Source organism: Homo sapiens, chromosome 5 (genome assembly GCF_000001405.40).
Source record: "Homo sapiens chromosome 5, GRCh38.p14 Primary Assembly".
NCBI classification, from domain to species: domain Eukaryota; kingdom Metazoa; phylum Chordata; class Mammalia; order Primates; family Hominidae; genus Homo; species Homo sapiens.
This window is the reverse complement of record NC_000005.10, coordinates 36,260,126-36,280,163: the sequence shown is the minus strand read 5'-3', so window position 1 is coordinate 36,280,163 and position 20,038 is coordinate 36,260,126. Positions and strand designations below refer to the sequence as shown.

Below are 20,038 nucleotides of genomic sequence, written 5' to 3'. Positions count from 1 at the left end.
TGTCTAGATCTAGAACAATGTACAAATCAGTGGAGGAGAGAGTTGAGTCTTTAGAACTTAAAATGAATGGTTCCCTTGAAGATTATCAGCATGAGAATCAGATGTGTTCAGAAAATGAGAAGGATTAGACAAAGCTCTGGATAATAATGGTTGTAATCAGTCATATTGACAGAGAGTTTTCTCATCTTCTCCAATTTCTTCTTGTGAAATGATTTCCATTCTGAAAATAACTGCTTTCTTTATCAGCTTGGTATTGATGAGAAAAGAGGAATAACTTTCCTTATTTTTTTCACATGTTGATTCTTTTTTCTCTAGTGGGTGTTAGTCATAAATGAATATAAACTAAGAAATGCTAGATTTCCCAGAGTTGGCAGTTTATAACTTCATTCTGATAAAAACTTTAAAGCAGTTAAGAACAAGTATAGTTAAAACTGCAGTTAGATCAAAAGGGATAAGTGTTCCTACCCTTTTACTTCATATACATCTGGTATAAAGATCTGAACACAAAATTGGTTACATCTTCAACATGTATGATCAGGGCTGCAATCGTTTCAGCAGGATCCATTCATCTTGCTTCTCCAGTTGAGCTAGTGCTTTGTGAGTCAGCCTGGAAACTTTCTGTATAAATTGCCTCTCTTTTCCCCAGAGGCCTCGTTATCTTACCTTCAAATTGGTACAAAGTATCTCAGGAAATAGAACCAGAGTGTCCCATCACAGTTAGTAATGTCATGCTGTGGCCCTACCACCTCCTTCTGTAAAACATACTTTTTAATCTTTTAGTAGATAGTTTGTTGTTTATTTCATTAAAAAAAGTTTTTTAGAGTTCCCCCACATATGGCTAGAAATAAGTAGAAACAAGTACAGAATGTCTCATGCTTGTGGTTCCTTTGTGAATTGGCACACATTCCTTCTTCCTCTGGGGATACAATTTGCCCCTTCTCTAACTATCTTAAAATACTTCAACATAGGTTGGGTTTTTTGTTTGTTCTTTTTTAAAAAATCAAGATCGTGATTCTGACTTTCTGTATCTCCTCTTCCTTGGGCTCCATGCAGAGATTGAGATCCCCTGCTATGATTTGTCTATTTTTTTTCTGCAGATAATGTCAGTTTTTACATTTGAAACTTCAGATGTTTCAAATTTTTGTTGAGGAATTTTAGAGCTATGGCCAATGTTTTTGATGTAGTTTATGCTTCCAGCTTAAATTTTTGCTTTGCAGCAATGAACATTTTAATCACCATTCAATAATCTCAACCGGTGACCTTTTCCAAAAAAATTTGTTCATGTAAATAAGTTAGATTTTAGGTATATCATTAAAACAGAAAGCGAACTTTTGCATGTGAGAAGAAATCATTAATTGCTTCAAGCAGAATATCCGAATGACTAATTTTAATATCAATATCAATATTGACATTTCAATATCCTTACCACAGAGATTTCTTTGCAAGTACTTAGGGTAGCCCTTGACTTCACCTTACACTGAATTGTAGTAATTATAGTATACGGTTTGAATAGTAATTATTTTCACATTAATTGTGAGCTTACTCAGAACATCCCACAGGTTTAGTCTCTACTAGTTAGTAGTCACTACTCTAACTAGTGACTACTAGAGTAGTCCAGGAATCTTTACTGCCATTTTCCTAAATTTGATCTCAGTTGACAGAAATCTGAATGTGCTCTAGAGGACTGCTTATCAAGTATTAGCATGTCTACAAATCACCCGGGAACCTTATAAAATGTAGCTTCTGACTTAGTAGGTCGGGGGTGGAGACTGAGATTCTGCATTTCTCATGAGCTCCCTGTCAATGCTGCTGGTCCATCTGGATCACACTTTGAGGAGCAAGGATCTCTAAGACTATTTATGGGCCACATCTGAATTTGGAAACTTCCTGATATCAAAAAATAAAAAGAATAAAAAAGATGGGAGAGAAATGAGAAGCAAGCTAGGGGTAAGCATAAGGTAATGAGTGAAAAGAAAAAGAAAGACTTTTGGGGAAGAATGAGGCACTTCCCCCAGAGCTAACATAGAGTAGGTAAGTGATATTGTTTGGCTGTGTCCCCACCCAAATCTCCTCTTGAATTGTAGCTCCCATAAATCCCATGTGTTGTGGGAGGGACCCAGTGGGAAATTATTGAATCATGGGGACGGTTTCCTTCATGAGCTGTTCTCGTGGTAGTGAATAAGTCTCACGAGATCTGGTGGTTTTATAAAGGGAAACCCCCTTTGCTTGGCTCTCAATTCTCTCTTGTCTGCCTGCATGTAAGATGAGCTTCTCACCTTCCACCATGATTGTGAGGCCTCCTCAGCCACGTGGAACTGTGAGTCCATTAAACCTCTTTTTCTTTACAAATTTTCCAGTCTTGGGTGTGTCTTTATCAACAGCGTGAGAACAGACTAATATAGTGAGTGCATATCACACAGGACAGCAGAGCAGGAGGGAAGTGAATCTAACTTTTATTCAGTGTCTCCTATGCAGACTGTAGCCTGACATATTGCTACATGTTTATGTTTATGTATGTGTGGATAGATGTCTACATCTGGATATATGGAGAGAAGTGTGCATATACAGAGGACAGATGAATAGACAGATACAGATAGATATTCTGCTTTGTTTCAAAAGGTTAGAAGAAGAAGCTGTAGGTGTTCTGGCATGCATATACTGCTTAAATCCTCATAATAGTTCACACACACACACACACACACACACACACACACACACACACATATATATATATATATATAGAGAGAGAGAGAGAGAGAGAGAGATGAAAAAGCTGAGGCTCGAGTCCTTTATTTAAAATACAGCTCTAGGACCATCTAACTTCCAAGCTCTAAAATCCATGCTTTGACAAGCCAAAGAACCAGACACGGTGAAGAAGGGTGAGAAGACAGGGACATAAAGGAAAGTCCTGGAGATTGGGGTGAGACAGTGCACAAGGAGCAGAAATTAGAGAAGAGGATGTGGAAGAGACATGTGGAAAGGGCCAGGAAGAAAGGGAGAAGAAAATGCAGGGACTGCCAGGGCTACAGTTCAAGTGGATAATTCCAGTCCTGGTAGCAATTAGAGCTGACCCATTTGGCAGTGCCTGCCCCTCTGCAGGGGTTTGTTGCCACCCTCTTTCCTGCCAAGACTGTTTACACAACCTTTTTTAGCCCTGGCTAGAGTAGCCTGGTTCTATCCAGCATGGAGAATTTGGTTTCCACCTCTACTACACTACCAAGTGGAAAGAAGAGGTGTACTGTAATCTAGGTGGGGGAAGCTGTGTAGCAGAAACTTGGGGACTTCTAGAAGCTGCCTGTCCCTCATGCCCCCTGGAGTACAATGGAGCCAAAGGTACTCCATTCTCAGCATCTTACTCTATCTTTGACATCTTCTTTTGACTCAGTAGATCCTTTCAAATCCCCATCTCTGAGAGGATCCAGCAAAAAAATCCTCCAGTTACTTTCCCAGTTGAAATAGGTTTATTTGTCAGAGACCAGGTGTCAATTAAAGATATGGAAATAAAAGGTAGGGACACCTTATAACCCACCCAAAATTAGGGGGGGTATATAGTACATAAAATAGAAAAAAAAAGTTTATTGTAAACATTGATTGTGATAGTATAATACTTTAAAATCCTGGAGGACAAAGCAATTAAATATATGCATAGCATTCAGCTGAATTTTTTTTCCCCTATACATACCTATGATAAAATTTAATTTTCAAATTAAGCACATCAAGAGATTAAGAATAATAGTCTAGGACAATTTTAACAATATACTGTAATTTTATGTGAATGTTCTCTCAAAATATCTGAACTGCAGTTGACCATGTGTAGCTGAAGTCACAGATAACAGGGACCACTGTACTGGGTTTTCTTCCTAGTGAATTCCTGTCTACAGACTCAGATGAGTGTTTTGAGTAAAGGTGAAGGCCAAGAACTAAAGCAAATGTCTTTCAAAGGTTTAGATGGCATCATAAAAAGCAGATCTTCAGTTATTCTGGGGAAGTTTTGATTGCTTTCTGAACTCAGTGACTCCATCTTACTTATACCTTTATTTCCACTTATTTTAATGTGAAGAACAGTTAAGCCCAGGAAGCAAGGTACTGTATGCTTGCTGGGCAGGATAATTCAATAAGAAGTCTATTTTTGGCAAGCAGCATGGGGTTTGTCCTCTAATTCTGGGAGTCTGACTATGGTAGAAAGGGGATTATTTTTTAATTTAGTTTTTATATTTTCAAAGTTATACATATTCATGTGATTTAAAGAATCAAATGGTTTTATGAGGCTTTTCTGGAAAAACAGGAGACTCATCCTTGTCCCCTCCTTTGCTCTCCCTTTTCTTGATCCCCAGAGACAACTATATCCAACTCTCACCACTGTTTCTTTCGGCATTAATCTCCGTATCTCCACACACCACGGTATTTCTTTATTTTTATGTTTAAGCTCTATTAGGCTGCAAAGTCAGTTACCACTTGTCCTTCTGCCTCCCAGCTTCCAAAATTTTGTTGCTATTATTTCTCTTCATTTTTCCTTGTATTTGTGGTGGCTTCCTCTTCCTCCCCTACACCAAGAAAACCTTATTATTTTGTGATTTCTGATTTAAGGAGGGAGTCGAAGTTCACGTGTATGGTCAATCAACTTTGACAAAGCTGAAAGTCCTGTTATTTTATACTGATTTTTCCTTAGCATAGTGCTGGATTATGTCACATATCATACATTTGGGACTAATATGTGCCAGTAGAGCCATATAGGATAATACATGAGTATGATGCATTGAAGTTAAATCAATGGTTTTGGAGGCAGGAGGCCTAGATTTAATTAAAGGCGTTGCCACTTACTAATGGTATGCATTTAGTGAGGCACTAAACCAAGCCTTAGTTTCCTCATCTGTAAGTGGCAGAAACCATATTTAATCCACAGAATGATTAAAATAATTAATTTAGACCAGATGATGGATAAAAGCACTTGACCCACAGTGTACCTCCCTTGTGGAGCAGAATTACAAGTGAACTGAGATTGAATTAAATAGATAGTACTTCGTGTTCTTTCTTGTAACAAGTACTCAATATAATATTTGTGAGGTGAATGAATGTCTTCTCTTAATGAAGTATTTCAGAAAAAAACAACATTGAATATTGAGATTCATGAAATGCTACATGAATCTCAAAACAAGCAAAATAGCAAAATTAACCTTTAAGTTTTAAAGTATTTCTTTCTAATCCCCTCATTTTCTTTCACTGCCACAGAAGACTGTATTTTAATCTTTTAATTATTCAATTTCTCTAAAAAAAAAGTCATGGATGCATGATTTTAAACAAAGAAAAAAGAGCAGCCTCATCAGCTCTTTTCTAGAACTTAGACTAGCCTCTTAATTAGATTCTTATTTCCTCTCCCTTAGCCCCTTCCCCCCAATACCCTTTCATCACCGCGGGAGGGGTGATCTTTAAAAGAAAAAATGCATATCAAAGCAAATCACTCCCCTGCTTAAAATCCCTCTTCGACATCCCATTTTTCTTGGAATAAAAACAGAACTCCCTGATAGAACCTGCAAGGCCTTGCAAAGCTCCAGCCTCATCTCCAGCCCTGTTTTGTAACCCTTGTCCACTGTTTTCTTAGGGTATCAGCTACACTGGTTCCTTTCATTATTAAATGTGCCAAGCTCCAGCCTTCCTCAGAGACTTTCCTCTTGCTTTTCCCTCTGCTTGGAATGTCCTTCTTCTACGTTTGCCTGGCTAACCTCTACTCATCCTACAAGTCTGTCTAAATATCACCTCTCCTGGAAACCTTACCCTGACCCCAAAAACTAAGATTCTCTTGTTGGTTACCTGTTGAGAGCCTGGTACTTCCCTTTGATAATGCTTACCCCAGTTGAACTTCAATAATTGCGTAATTAATTACTTAGTTCTGTTTCTCCTCCTCAGTGTAAGCTCTATAAAAGGCAGGGACTACATCTGTTTTCTTTTCTGCTTTATCCATGTTAAAGGAAAAAGTTTAGAAAAATTAAATTTCTTAGAGTTTAATCGAGCAAAGAACAATTTACGAATCAGGCAGCCCCCAAACCATAATGGGTTGAGAGAGACTCTGGTGCTGGCGTGTGGTCAGAAAAAGGAAACAGAAAAAGGAAAGTGACCTGCAGAAAATGGAAGTGACATACAGAAACAGCTGGATTGGTTACAGCTGGCTTTTCCTCTATTTGAAGAGTTGGCCTCCTGTGATTGGCCAAAACTCAGCGATTGGTAGAGGAGTAGTTTCCAGTCTGTTTACACATCCAGTTCACTATGAACAGGGAAATCTTTAGGCAGAATTTATAAGAAGGTAGCTTTAGGCTAAACTTAATTTTAACATCCACAATACCATGCAAAATGTCTTGTACATTGTCATTTCTCAATACATATTTGTTGAATAAATGGATTAATGACTACAGTAGAAAGGAAAAAAGGCTACATTTTAAAAATATAATTTTAAGGACTCTGTTTTTATTTTCAGATTCTCCTACTGGGTCAGGTAAAAAAATCTGCTGTAGACCCAATGGCTTGACAAATGCTTACTTTTGACTCAGTCTTTGGAGCTAAGAGAATTGTTTGGGAGAAGGGGAGAGCATCTAGGTGGAAGAAGTATGAAGGTTATCTCTTTGCTAACCAAGTTCTGGGCAGTGTCAAGGAGGGAAGGTGGCTCCGCTGCCACTAATGCACCTTCAATTAGACCATGTGTCCCTAGTTCCCAGCACAATGCTTGCATAAAAAAGATGCTCAATAAATATGTGTTGAATTAATGGATAAAGGTGGCCTTTTTACTTTGCTATATGCCCTCCAAGCTGCAAGTACTCTTTGTGACTTCCTCTTTAATGTTGCCATTGAAGATCACTTTTGCACATTTTTAGTTATATGCTTGGATAGAGGGAAGGTCAACATATTATTTGTGTAGGCTTAGATCAAGCCATGCTGTTTAGGGATGACTGTCCTAAGCCCAGTTTAGAAGAGTCACATTTATTATTCTAACTGATAAATATTCCACTGCACATTCACGAAAACTATTTCTTTTTCAAAGTCTCTGCAAATCTCACTGCTTAAATCTAACATAATTTCCGGAAAAGGAGCTTGTCTTGAGAAACAACAAAGAATTGAGCTATAGTTTCATATGAATGGTAATGCCAATATATTAGTGAAGATTTTCTGCTGGGGATCACTTGGCTCCAAGGGAAGACAGCATGGTAAGTGCTTGCATAAAAAAACTACACAAGGCCAGGTGTGGTGGCTCACACCTGTAATCCCAGCACTTTGGGAGGCCAAGGTGGGTGGATCACCGAGGTCAGGAGGTCGAGACCAGCGTGGCCAACATGGTGAAACTCCATCTCTACTAAAAATACAAATTAGCTGGGTGTAATGACACATGCCTGTAATCTCAGCTATTCGGGAGGCTGAGGCAGGAGAATCGCTTCAATCCGGGAGGTGGAGGTTGTAGTGAGCCAAGATTGAGCCATTGGCCATTACACTCGAGCCTCGGCAACAAGAGCAAGACTCTGTCTCACAAAAAAACAAAAACAAACAAAAAAACCCCACTAAACACAAAACAGTTTATTTCACTGGACTGAAAAGAGGTATCCAAATTCACATGGCTCTAGGAAATTCACAAAGGGTGTTTGCAGACATTATGAAACTCTTATGAGATAAGATTGTGGAGAAATGGGGAATCCCTTTCTGGCATTTAAAAGTTGTATATGTCTGGTAGTTTCTTGAAATTTGTCAGCTACAGCTTTATTTATTCAGCTCAGGGATGGCAAATTACCTCAGTGTATGCCAAGACAATATGTTGGTAATGGTTGCTATACTGAGAAAAGTTCTGAGGTCTTACTTGGTCTCATCCAGAATGTGTTGTCATCATTTAGCAATGATAGCTATGAGTTTTAGAATGGGGATTGGTGGAATGCCAGGTAACCTTTCTTTAAGGCTTTTTTGTTTTTGTTAAAATTTAAAAAATTATATCTAAAAGTCTCATTTAATCTTCACATAAACTCTATGAGGTAAGTACTGCTTTAATCTTGATTTTTTTTTTTCAGATGAGGAAACTAAGGTAAAGATACATTGTTTCCCAAAGTAGTTAGTCAATTAGTGATGTAACTTATATTTGAACACATGCCTATCTAAACTAACTTCAGAGCCCAAGCTCTTAACTACCACATAGTATTTCTTAAGAATTCTGGAGCGTTGATATTTAAAGCTGTTATCACTTATGTATACCCTAGAATGAATGAGTTTCTCTCTATTGCCATATCTAAGATAAGAAAATACAAAATATTAATAAGGCTGGCAAGGTTGAAGACAAATTTTACCTACTTTATAACACTGTGTAAGACTAATTTTTTATCTAAATATTAAAAATAAAGTGTGGTGTATGACTAGTGAAGAAAATATGAATTATTTCTGGATATTTTAAGGTTGTAATGCAATGCATACATATCATTTCTACCTCCACATCTAACCTAAGTGGAAGTACTACTCCTAGATTAGATTTTTCACTCATTGAAACTTTTTATTCTTAAAGCAATGGTGTTAATCGCTATGCTCTGATGAGATTCTAAAGGTACATAATTATATTTTGTTTTCCTTAAACACTTAAAGCATGTTCTTTTAATGGGATTATCTATTTATGGAAACATACTGCTATCATTTCCCCCAAGTATTTATTTCTGTAATTAACTGTTAAATTATTTATAAATGTGCAATTGATAGTATTCATGTAAAATAGCTTGGCTTTTACCCAAATGCAGAGAAAACAAAAAACAAAAAAAAAAGTCTTCAAATATTTTTAGATGATGTAAGAAATGTCAGAGTATGCTTTGATTTCTTGCCTGTTTTCTTTTTTTTCACAGAAAAATCTGTCATTGCTCAACCCATATTTGTTTTTGAAAAGGGAGAACAAACTTTTAAGGTAAGATTGACTACTTCTTTGTTCAATTTTACTTTGACAAAGACAATTATATTTCAGGAAGCTAGTTATCCTGAAAGATATCACGGCTGCATAGGTTTATCCTGTTCTTTACTAGCAGAGTAGTGCCTCCAGATTATTTATATAGTCAGGATTTACAAACTTCAGTTTGGCTGGAATGGGAAGCCAGAGGCCTTGTCTTGCAGCTATGGATAACATACTGTTTCGCTATGGTAATATCTTTATTTGGAGTAACTTGAAAAGGGGAGGAGCTGAAAGAGATTAGGAGGACTATAGCTCCTCATATGAGTCCTCACCACTGACCTAGCCTAAAACTCGGTAAAAAAACACATTCTAAATTACAATATTTGATTTAAAAGGGATCTTCTGAACTCTGTCTGCTTTTTTTGGCATCATAATAAAATCATTCGTTTTGAAAGACTAACAGTAAGATTAGTTGCTGGGCATGATGGCTTGTGCCTGTAATCCCCGCATGTTTCGAGGCCACGGTGGGAGGACTGTTTGAAGCCTGGGGTTCGAGGCCAGCCTGATCAATAAAGCAAGACCCCATCTCTACAAAAAAATAAAAAGAAATTAGTCAGGCATGGTGGCATGTGCCTGTAGTCAGTCCCAGCTACTTGGGAGCCTGAGACAAGAGGATTGCTTGAGCCTAGGTGTTAGAGGTTGCAGTGAGCTATGATTGCACTGCTGGTACTGCAGCCTGGGTGACAGAAAAAGACCTCATCTCTAAACAAACAAAAAACTCCACTAGATTCTCATTTTACCTTATTTCTTGGTATTCATTCTTACCCATGCAGGTAATTTAACCTACTACCCACAAAAACACTAAACAAAAGAAACACTCAACCTCCAAGCCCTTGTTAAAAAAGCAGATTCCTGGACCCCATCCCAGAACAACCACTTCAGAATCTTGAGAATAGGTGCCTCAAAATCCACATTTTAAACTAACTTCCACAAGCGAATCTGCAGCCATTGAACTATAAAACCACTGGACTAGACGTTGTTTTTTCTTGACTATGTGCTGAACAAAGGAAGGTGAACTGCTTTGTCCTGGCCGGGCTTATTAGCCCTGGCTTCTGAGAATTCTGTAAAGTGGCAGGGTGGAAATCTGATGTACTAGGTTGGTGCAAAAGTAATTGCAATTTTTGCCATTACTTTTAATTGCCAAAACTGCAATAACTTTTGCACCAACATAATACAAAGGCAAATACTCAGCTCTCCTCAGTGGTTTTGTTTCCTTTCAGAGACCTGCAGAAGACACCCTGTATGAAGCAGCAGAACCAGGTAATGATTTTCATCCTGTATTCCAAAATCAATCTTTATACAAACAAAATTAGCAGACACAAGTATTTTGGCATGTGGCACAGACTATGTGAAAGTTAATGTTTTTTCTTTTTTTAAATATGCCAGTAGATTCACTTTTGTTTTGAAAGATGACATATAGGTCCCTGAGAACACTGATGTTAGTGACTAAAATTCATTGTGCTCCACTCCCTGCCCCTTAGCCTATCAAAAGCATTCTCTGTAGACCTCAGAATGCATATACAAATTATTGCTGACACCACTCATTTCTAATTGTTTCATACTAGTATGATATGCCTATAGGTTTATAATCAATCAGCAAACTATTAACCCCAATATTTAAAATGTGCTATCAAATGATGGTCTGTGTAGACAAAAGAAAATTCTGTTTATCCTACCCTATCATGAGTTGAGGATAATTTATTATCACAAGTAATTTTAGCCTTTCCATTGCTTTTCTTGCAGAATGTAATGGTTTTCCAACAAAGCGTGTACGGTCTTCATCTTTTACTTTTCATATTACAGATTCTCAGTCCCAGGGAGGTATGTATAGCCTTGACTGTTGACTATTCACTGTTATGTTTATTCTGAATGCAAAATTACTGAGAAACTTTTCAAAAGGGTAATGTTAAAAGCTTGCCAGCTGAATAGTGTTTATAATATATTGTTACGTGAAAACAACAAGCTATACAATGGTACAGTTAGTCAGTATTTAAACATTCCATTTATCAGCATTGGAAAAAATACCAAAAGGACATAAGCCACAATGATAGCAGTGGTTATCTTAAGTAGAGGAGTTGCAAGTGATTTGGTCTCCTCCCTGTACCCCATGCCTCTGTATTTTGCTATGTTTCCAAAGTTTCTGCATTGAGCTTGTATTAGCTTTGTAAGCAGGAGAAAAGGCCATTTTTAAAGTAACCACAGGCTGGGCGCGGTGGCTCATACCTGCAATCCCAGCACTTTTGGAGGCCAAGGTGGACAGACCATGAGGTCTGGAGTTTGAGACCAGCCTGGCCAACATAGTGAAACCCCATCTCTACTAAAAATACAAAAAAAATTAGCTGGGCATGGTGGCAGGTGCCTCTAGTCCCAGCTACTTGGGAGGTTGGGGCAGGAGAATCTCTTGAACCTGGGAGGCGGAGGCTGCAGTGAGCCGAGATTGCTCCACCGCACTCCAGGTGGGGTGACAGTGTGAGACTCCTAAGAAAAAAAAAAAAAAGTAACCGCCTATTTAAATAAATGGATGCCTACCCCTTGAAAATAATTTTATCATACACTGTATTCTGAGTAAACCAGTAACTTAGTTTGCTTGTCTTCTATGCTGAAAGCACTCCAGGGATTCCTTTCATAATGAGCTCTATGCCTTCCACCTTGTAATACAGCATCTATGTATATATTTTTCCTCCACTGTGAGTTCCTCGAGGTCATCTTCATGGTTGATAGTGTCTTACATATGGTGACCACAAAATAAATATTTACTGTTGAATGGAATTGAATGGAAATTAATTTATCATCTTCATCAGATGTACTCATTTTTATTAATAGAAATAAAAAGATTTTTCTAAATTAGTGATACAGAAATTTTTCCAAAACAGCAAAACTCCAAATGAAAACAAAACAAAAAACCCACTTTCTTACTGACTTTAGTTTGCAATCTGCTTTTAGTGTCAACCTTGTCTCAGAAGCAAATGAGATGTTCATCCGTCACTAACCTCCCAACCTTCCCCCATTCTGGGCCAGGTAATAAAGAGTTTCTAGAACCTCAAGCCTGACACTGACTTTTCAAAATCATTCTTATTAATGATGACTTTTCTTTTTTAGCGATCATAAAATGCTGACACTTTAGAAATAAACAGAGGCCTTAGCAAAGTATGCATCGAAGAATACCTTATGAATTCTAACTTCACAAATTCTGAGTATATGTTTTTACCTTTGGTAGAAAGTTTGAACTTCATGTTTTTTTAGGATTTCACATTTATAACAGTATTATTTTATTTAAGGCAGCCCTATAAAAGTAAAAACAATTTGCATTATTTTACTTACTATTGTCCATCTACATAGTTTATAATGTAATAGCATTTAAAACATGCAATTATGCTTTAGATTCATATTTTAAGCTTAGCATAGAAATCCATTAAAATTTCCACTAATTAAAACATTACTCCTCTTTACTTGAAATTTATAATGTTTTGCTTAGTAAAACTGTTTTATCATAATAAAATATTTGAAATGGTTGGCATTTTCTCCACATTAAAATGATCTCTATTCTCATGTTTTTATTTCTACTAAACAATCAATTGCCTTTTCCAAGTTAAGTTTGCCACTAAGAAAGAAAAATTACAAACTACTCACTTCATTTGAATTGATCCCCCTCTACCCAGGAACTACAGAGTTTTTTCTTTCTTTCTTTCTTTTTTTTTTTTTTGAGACGGAGTCTGGCTCTGTCGCCCAGGCTAGAGTGCAATGGCGTGATCTCAGCTTACTGCAACCTCTGCCTCCCGGGTTTAAGTGACTCTCCTGCCTCAGCCTTCCAAGTAGCTGGGACTACAGGCGCACACCACCCATGCCCAGCTAATTTTTGTATTTTTAGTAGAGATGGGGTTTCACCATTTCGGCCAGGATGGTTTTGATCTCTTGACCTCGTGATCCGCCCACCTCGGCCTCCCAAAGTGCTGGGATTACAGTCGTGAGCCACCATGCCTGGCCTGAACAACAGAGTTTTTCAATGAATAAATCTGTATTCTTATTAATAATTGCAGGCATGACTGAGCAACAGTATATCAAGTAACTTTCAGATGCAGAAGAGACACCTTTTAGTGTCTCTAGTCCTTCTAACCTGACTGACAAGCTCAGACATTAAGAGAAACAGAGATCCTGGCTGGGCGTGTTGGCTCATGCCTGTAATATCAGCACTTTGAGAGGCCAAGGCAGGCAGATCTCTGCAGGCCAGGAGTTCGAAACCAGCGTGGCAAACATGGTGAAACCTGGTCTCTGCTAAAAATACAAAAATTAGCCGGGCATGGTGTTGCACGCCTGTAGTTCCAGCTACTTGGGGCGCTGAGGCAAGAGAATCGCTTGAACCCAGGAGGCAGAGGTTGCAGTGAGCCAAGGTCATGCCACTGCACTCCAGCTTGGATGACAGAGAGAGACTCAATCTCAAAGAAAAAAAAAAAAAGTGAGAGAGACATAGAAATAGAGATCCTAATCCCAGAGGCAAAGGTGTTCTGTTTTATTGTATTTATACATAAAACAAAGGAACGACTTTAAGTTATCTATGCACGTGCTTTAATTCATTTTTTACTGGACACTCACACAAAAAGAAAGATTATCATTCTGTTTTATGTTGTGCAGAATGTTAGTGGTGTTCAGCAGGAGAAAAATATGGCTCTTTTTTTGTTGATGTTCAATAATAAAGATCATAAAAAACATTAAATTGAACTCTGAAGTAGAGAAGGGATTCTACCCCAACATTTATAACACCTTAAAGAATACTTTGAAGAAGCAATTATTCTTTTCTCATTTTCATTAAATGCCAAAGGTTGCTGTTTCTGCAATTTGCAATGAAGAGGAGATCCCTTTGAAATGTATAGAAATTCTATACTCGGAGCCACCACCACAGTCTTACCCCACCAACATGTTTGTAGAAAAATAACTTAGCAGATTTGTCATCTTTACTTCTTTCTTCAGGTATACTCATTAAAAAGTCAGGGAGTGTGGGCAGACTTTGCTAACAGTTTTATAATATTCTATAAGAGCTATATATTAATGCCGGAGGGTTCATTACCAATTCAGATTTTGTAGTCTGTAGAATTTCTGACAGTGCACTATTTAAAGATTCAAAAAAAAGACTGCCTTTTCTGCTAGTCACCTAATTTTCACTTAGATATCTGAAAGTAAACAGAACTATGTAGCAGGACGCATCCGGCAATATCTTTTTTTTTTTTTTTTTTTTTTTGAAATGGAGTCTCGCTCCTGTCACACAGGCTGGAGTGCAGTGGTGCGATTTCAGCTCACTGCAACCTCCACCTCCTGGGTTCAAGAGATTCTCCTTCCTCAGCCTCCCGAGTAGCTGGGATTACAGGCACCTGCCACCACGCCCGGCTCATTATTTTTTGTATTTTTAGTAGAGACGGGGTTTCGCCATGTTGGCCAGGCTGGTCTCGAACTCCTGACCTCAGGTGATCCACCCGCCTTGGCCTCCCAAAGTGCTAGGATTACAGGCGCGAGCCACCGCGCCTGGCTGGCAATCCCATTTTTCGCAGAGCCAGTGCTCCAGAGGGCACTACCTACTACTCTGTTAGTGCCAATTGCGACATCTGCTGGTGAGTTCGGAATGGGATTGTTAAGCCCCAAATAGTGTAGAATCTGACACTCTTCTGTATTTAAAAAAATTTAAATATTTTTTCTTACAGTGAGGAAAAACAATGTTTTTATGACATCAGCTCTTGTGCAAAGTAGTGTTGATATAAAGAGTGCTGAACAAGGTATGTAGCTTCTATTTCAAGAACCTCAGAAATTGTATATTTTACCACCTATATTTTCATCTCCCTATATGTGTGCGTGTGTTGGGGGCATGGAGGTAGGTCAGAGTGACAAAACATGAAGAAATAATGCAAGTAAGCCAGGTTTCATGATCAAAATGAATAGTTATTGGGCAAAAGCTAGGCAGGGTGTGAATGTTGGGGAACTCAATGGTTATTTTGACTTGGATTAATTAACGCTAGTCCCTCATTTAAACATGACTTTAGAAAATAAGAATTATATTAATTAAAAATAGGGAGTAAAGGAATATTTCAGTAAACATATATTTATCCTTTAATTCTATTCTTTTAAGGTCCTGTGAAACATTCTAAACATGTTATTAGACCTGCTATTTTGCAGCTACCTCAAGCTCGAAGTTGTGCAAAAGTAAGAAAAACATTTGGACACAAGGCACTGGAATCTTGCAAGACTAAAGAAAAAACAAATAATAAGGTGAGAAAGCCCAGGATAACGGAACTGACCTCAATCCCTCATCTTTCTTTTTGCAGGTTGTTTGGGGCCCCCATATCCAGAAATAGGAGTTGTCTGAGCTTTGTTTTGTTGTTGGGCTAGATAGCATAAAGCCCTTGGTAAACTTTTCAAAGTTGTACTCTGACATTGGAGAGTTGTAGTCTCACAAATCTGTGGTCTCTCTAAAGTTGTAAAGTTGAGTACTGGGTAGTGGAAATCTGGGGGTCTTGTGCCAGAGCAATGACCCTGTGTGAGAATGGGGACAGCAATGAGGGAGCCAGGGGCCAGAGTCAGTAGTCAAAAAAGAGGCAGGGATTTTCTCTACATCGCCAACTGGTCAACATCACAGTGTATCGTTGCCAGTTTAGGTCATACCAGAGGTTCATTTCAGAGCCAAATTCCAGTATAACAGGAGCAGAGAACTCCCTATACAGTGTAGTTGGGAGGGTTTGGGAAGCCTCTAGAGACAGATAAGAATTCTAACTTCCAACTATGTAGTGTCTGAATCACTCTTTGTAGGCCTTTCTAAACAGACAGTAACTTACACAAGCCGTGCAGATATGGGTTTGGGGATATATTCAATTGCTGTAGTGCTACCTGTCTTCCAGCAGAAGCAGACACAGGAGGAATAGGACTCAAGATAGGTAGGTTGGAATTTGAGAGTTATTCCATCTTAGCCATTTGTTTCCAGCTGAACTACTGAGGATTGGTCACATAGTTTCGCTTTGTTTTCCCTTAGTGAACATAAGGACAGAAACACGGAAGTGTAAAAAAATACCAGATTGGTACTAATCTTGCCTCTGCTGCTATCTTTGTTTATCTAAACAAAGCACCCATTCAACATCTTTTTATATCAGCAAAGTAAGGGACTTGAACTTGATCAGCACTTTCCAATATTTTTATATTCCTAAACTCTTTACTTTGTAAGATATTATTTGGAGAGATCCATTATGAATTTAAAAAATCATTTCATCATTTATGCATGCTATATAAGTAATTTTTAAGTAAAACATGTCTTCAATTTTAGATAAGTATATTATTGTTTTCACTTAAATATAATGTAATAATTATCACCATGTTACATAATTCCTTACTTTTATTTAAGAAGTGAAGTGGCCAGGCGTGGTGGCTCACTCTTTTAATCCTAGCACTTCGGGAGGCCGAGATGAGTGGATCTCTTGAGCTAAAACGTTCCAGACAAGCCTAGGCAATATAGTAAAACACTGTCTTTACAAAAAATACAAAAATTAGCTGGGCATGGTGGCATGTGCCTGTAGTCCTAGCTTGAACCCGGGAAGTGGAGGTTGCAGTGAACCGAGATGGTACCAGCCTGGTGACAGAGCCAGACTGTCTCAAAAAAGAAAAGAGAAAAAAGAAGTGATGCATGGTGTTTAACTTGTTTTAAATTATGTAATAGAAAGTATAATATGTTGACTAATTTCTAAAAAGTTATATTGCATTTGATTTTAAAATGGCATGCACTATAAATATAGAGCAAGATTTTAATTACATGTTATGACATCAAAAATACATCAATATTTCTTTCTTGGCAGAATTTTTGTAAATATTGCATTGCATATTTTAAAATAAAATTTATTAATATATTTCTTCCATTTTCTTCTTAAATGATCCAAGCTTAAGAGAAAATTTCAAGCTATTGTTTATATTTATTTTTGAATAAATTATAAGGTCTAGGGAATAAACCTTATTTCCAGTTATTGAAAAGCCCTACTGTATATGCCCATCATTAAAAAGAAAATTTAATGCCCATCATTAAATTTTCCATTTATTGATCTTTGAAGATCCAGAGACACACTGTATATAAGATCCTATGTAAGAATTTTGACCAAATGAATGTAATTTAAAGATTTTGTGAAAACTATCTCTAGGTGGATTTTGTAGAACCATTATCTTTATATTTCTTATTATCTTGTATATCAAAATCAGATAAATTATTTTCATCCTATCATTAATCAATGGTTACTTACTATGTATAGATTAAACAATATATGCCTAAATAACTATTTTAACCAACATAGGAGTGAAAACTACCATTTTGGCTGAGAGATACATTATCTGAATGACTAGGTAATGAGCATGTACTTCGATCTTTGCCAACCATGGCACATGCTCTCTTGATACATATTTGTCAGTTGTCAAACTCTTGTTAAAAAAGAAAAAGTACTCAAAATTATTTTTATTGATTGAAATAAAAATTTAAGTGGAAACATAACCCATCTGGCTTTAAAAGACACAAACGCCCTGAAACATCTTTGCAAATTCCTGGTCGAGGAAGGAATTGTAAATACTAGATCAGATAATGTATAGGGTTCCTTCCAATTCTAAATTTCCTCACTCTTACATTTATATATTAATTCAGGTATTGTGCATACACATATGTACATAAGGCAAAGTAACTGGATAAGTTACTAGTTGAAAATTTCAAGATAAATAGATGAGTGGGGTTTTCTCTCACATTGGGTGACTAGGATGGTGACATTCTTAGGGTGTTTCCCAGGATTAAATAGTCCTGAAAAGAGCTTTACTAATCCAGAAATGAGAATTAACCCAATTTGACTAAAATGGCAAAAATAAACAAAACATGGTGGGATTTCTGAATATTATGATATTCCGGTATTAGACAGATCGCCACTGTATGTGACCTGGGCAAATTATTTAAGTTTTTTGTGTCAGTTTACTCACCTGTAAAATGTGGACAATAGAATTACAAAGTGTTAGAGTTGTAAGGAGTAAATGAGATCGTACATAAAATGCTTAAGGCAGTACTTAAACATAGTAAGCTTTCAATATATTTAACTATAACTATTGTTTCCTTGTCTGATGGTCCTATAGTAAGGTAGTCTTTATAAACTTTTTGATGGATTTCTTTACTTTCAGATTTCTGAGGGAAATTCCTATTTGTTAAGTGAAAATTTATCAAGGGCTAGAATTTCAGTCCAGCTGTCTACTAACCAGGACTTTTTAGGTGCAACATCAGTAGGGTAAGTTAATGAGAAAATAGAAGCGTTGTCCTTTCATTCTTGCATTCTTTCATTATTATAACCATTCATGGAAAATAATTTTCTGACCTTGTACGGATAAATTGCCAAGATTCCCATTTGAAAGGAGATTTTATAGGAAACACAAGTTTAAAATGTTTTTAAAAATATTTCGATTCTTAAATATTATCATATTAATACTGGATTGTCTTCATTGTTTCATTAACTTGGGTGAGAACTTTTTGAAAATGTATGGCTAAACTTTTATTTAGTTGGACATAAATTATCTGATTAGTAGATTAGGCTCTCTTCCTCTCTCTCTAGCATTTTTTTCTTTTATTTTGGCATTATACATTATTTATTGGCATAGGTTAGATAAGCAACAAGGAAAGCAGTATAAATCTGCAATATTTATTAGTATTACTAGTGATGGATAAATGTTTGATCTGAGAGGTTAAAACTAGCTGTGGATATAAACTGACTCACATGACTGGGCTCTGTCCAGGTGCGGTAGCAGGTGCCTTCTATGTGCATTGGGGATGCAATGCCGAACCCTGAGCACATCTGTCTACAAAGAGCGGGCTTCCGGTCTTCGAGTTTCTCATCATGAAAAACACTTTTAACATTAAAAAAAAGTTTCTGGGAGGCAAAAAATTTAAGCCAATGCACACTCAATTATAACAGACAGGGTTTCGCTTTTGCCCTGGAGATCTCTGGTTGCTAAAACATCAGCCACTTGAGGAAGAGAAGAGGGGAAATTAGATACTAGACAGGGTGTGTTGGAAAAGCAAAAGGGGTTGGGAAGCCCTCCTGGCTGACCACACAGCCAGTGCAGTGATGGGCATGAGGCAGTCAGGACTGGTCTCTGCCAGTGCTGTAAGAGCTGGAAACTATTTTGACAATCACCTCTGGATGCCACTATCTGAATTTTTCCTTCATTTTTCATTAAATTCACACTAACAAAAGTGAGCAGTAAATTTGATTTACATAAATCTATTAAATTATCTGATTATTTCAAGGTTTAAAATGGCTTTATCTATGTATTTAAAATAGTAAATGCTTATTTCATTTTCTTAGATGTCAACCAAATGAAGATAAATGTTCTTTTAAAAGCTGCAGTTCCAATTTTGTTTTTGGAGAAAACATGGTAGAAAGAGTTTTGGTAAGATTTTGGTATATGTTTCTATTACTATATACAGAGCTGTCACTTTAAATTTCTAAAGGTAAATTAATTAAAAGTAATATTAAATTGAATTATACTTTTTAACTCCTGAGTTCAAACGCACATTTTCTTTCTTTAACTGGAAAGATTCTCCTGGGAAGCATGTCCTAGTTGTTAAAATAATAGAAACCCACAGAGGAAGGGAACTGTATAATTATAACATTATTACTGATGTGAAATATTAAATAGTTCTTTGACTTGTGTTAAACCAAAAGTACCCAAGGAAATCCCAGAATCATCTGCAATAGTTAGATAAGCTCAGTTGGTAATGATAGTTTAATAGTTTGTCGATGTCATCATTTTGTAACAAGATGCATTTAAAATTATTTGCCAGTTTGGTTTTTTTTTTTTTTTTTTTTGAGACAGAGTCTCGCTCTGTCACCCAGGCTGGAGTGCAGTGGTCCGATCTCTGCTCACTGCAACCTCCGCCTCCTGGGTTCAAGTGATTCTCCTGCCTCAGCCTCCTGAGTAGCTGGGACTACAGGCGCGTGCCACCACACCTGGCTAATTTTTTTTTTTTTTGTATTTTTAGTAGAGATGGGGTTTCACTGTCTTAGCCAGGATGGTCTCGATCTCCTGACCTCGTCATCTGCC

At 37.2% G+C, this 20,038-nt stretch overlaps 1 protein-coding gene and 1 long non-coding RNA gene across 14 annotated transcripts in view; one reads left to right on the top strand and one right to left on the bottom strand.

The window, feature by feature from the left end:
- LOC124900962 (uncharacterized) overlaps window positions 1-20,038 on the bottom strand; it is a 109,210-nt gene that overhangs the window by 70,948 nt on the left and 18,224 nt on the right. The gene's annotated exons all lie outside the window — the stretch shown is intronic.
- Window positions 1-20,038, top strand: part of RANBP3L (RAN binding protein 3 like) — a 54,990-nt gene that overhangs the window by 21,739 nt on the left and 13,213 nt on the right. For 3 of the 13 annotated variants that reach the window (XM_006714453.5, NM_001323275.2, NM_001323276.2), the window contains exons 2-9: window positions 8,853-8,911; window positions 10,174-10,213; window positions 10,757-10,774; window positions 11,897-11,971; window positions 14,644-14,715; window positions 15,066-15,205; window positions 18,122-18,225; window positions 19,300-19,384. In XM_006714453.5, coding sequence (XP_006714516.1) covers window positions 8,853-8,911; window positions 10,174-10,213; window positions 10,757-10,774; window positions 11,897-11,971; window positions 14,644-14,715; window positions 15,066-15,205; window positions 18,122-18,225; window positions 19,300-19,384 — 593 coding nt within the window. Of the gene's footprint in view, window positions 1-8,852; window positions 8,912-10,173; window positions 10,214-10,696; window positions 10,775-11,896; window positions 11,972-14,643; window positions 14,716-15,065; window positions 15,206-18,121; window positions 18,226-19,299; window positions 19,385-20,038 lie in introns of all 13 variants that reach the window. The other 10 variants (XM_006714452.5, NM_001161429.3, NM_001323274.2 and 7 more) reach the window with 4 other exon arrangements.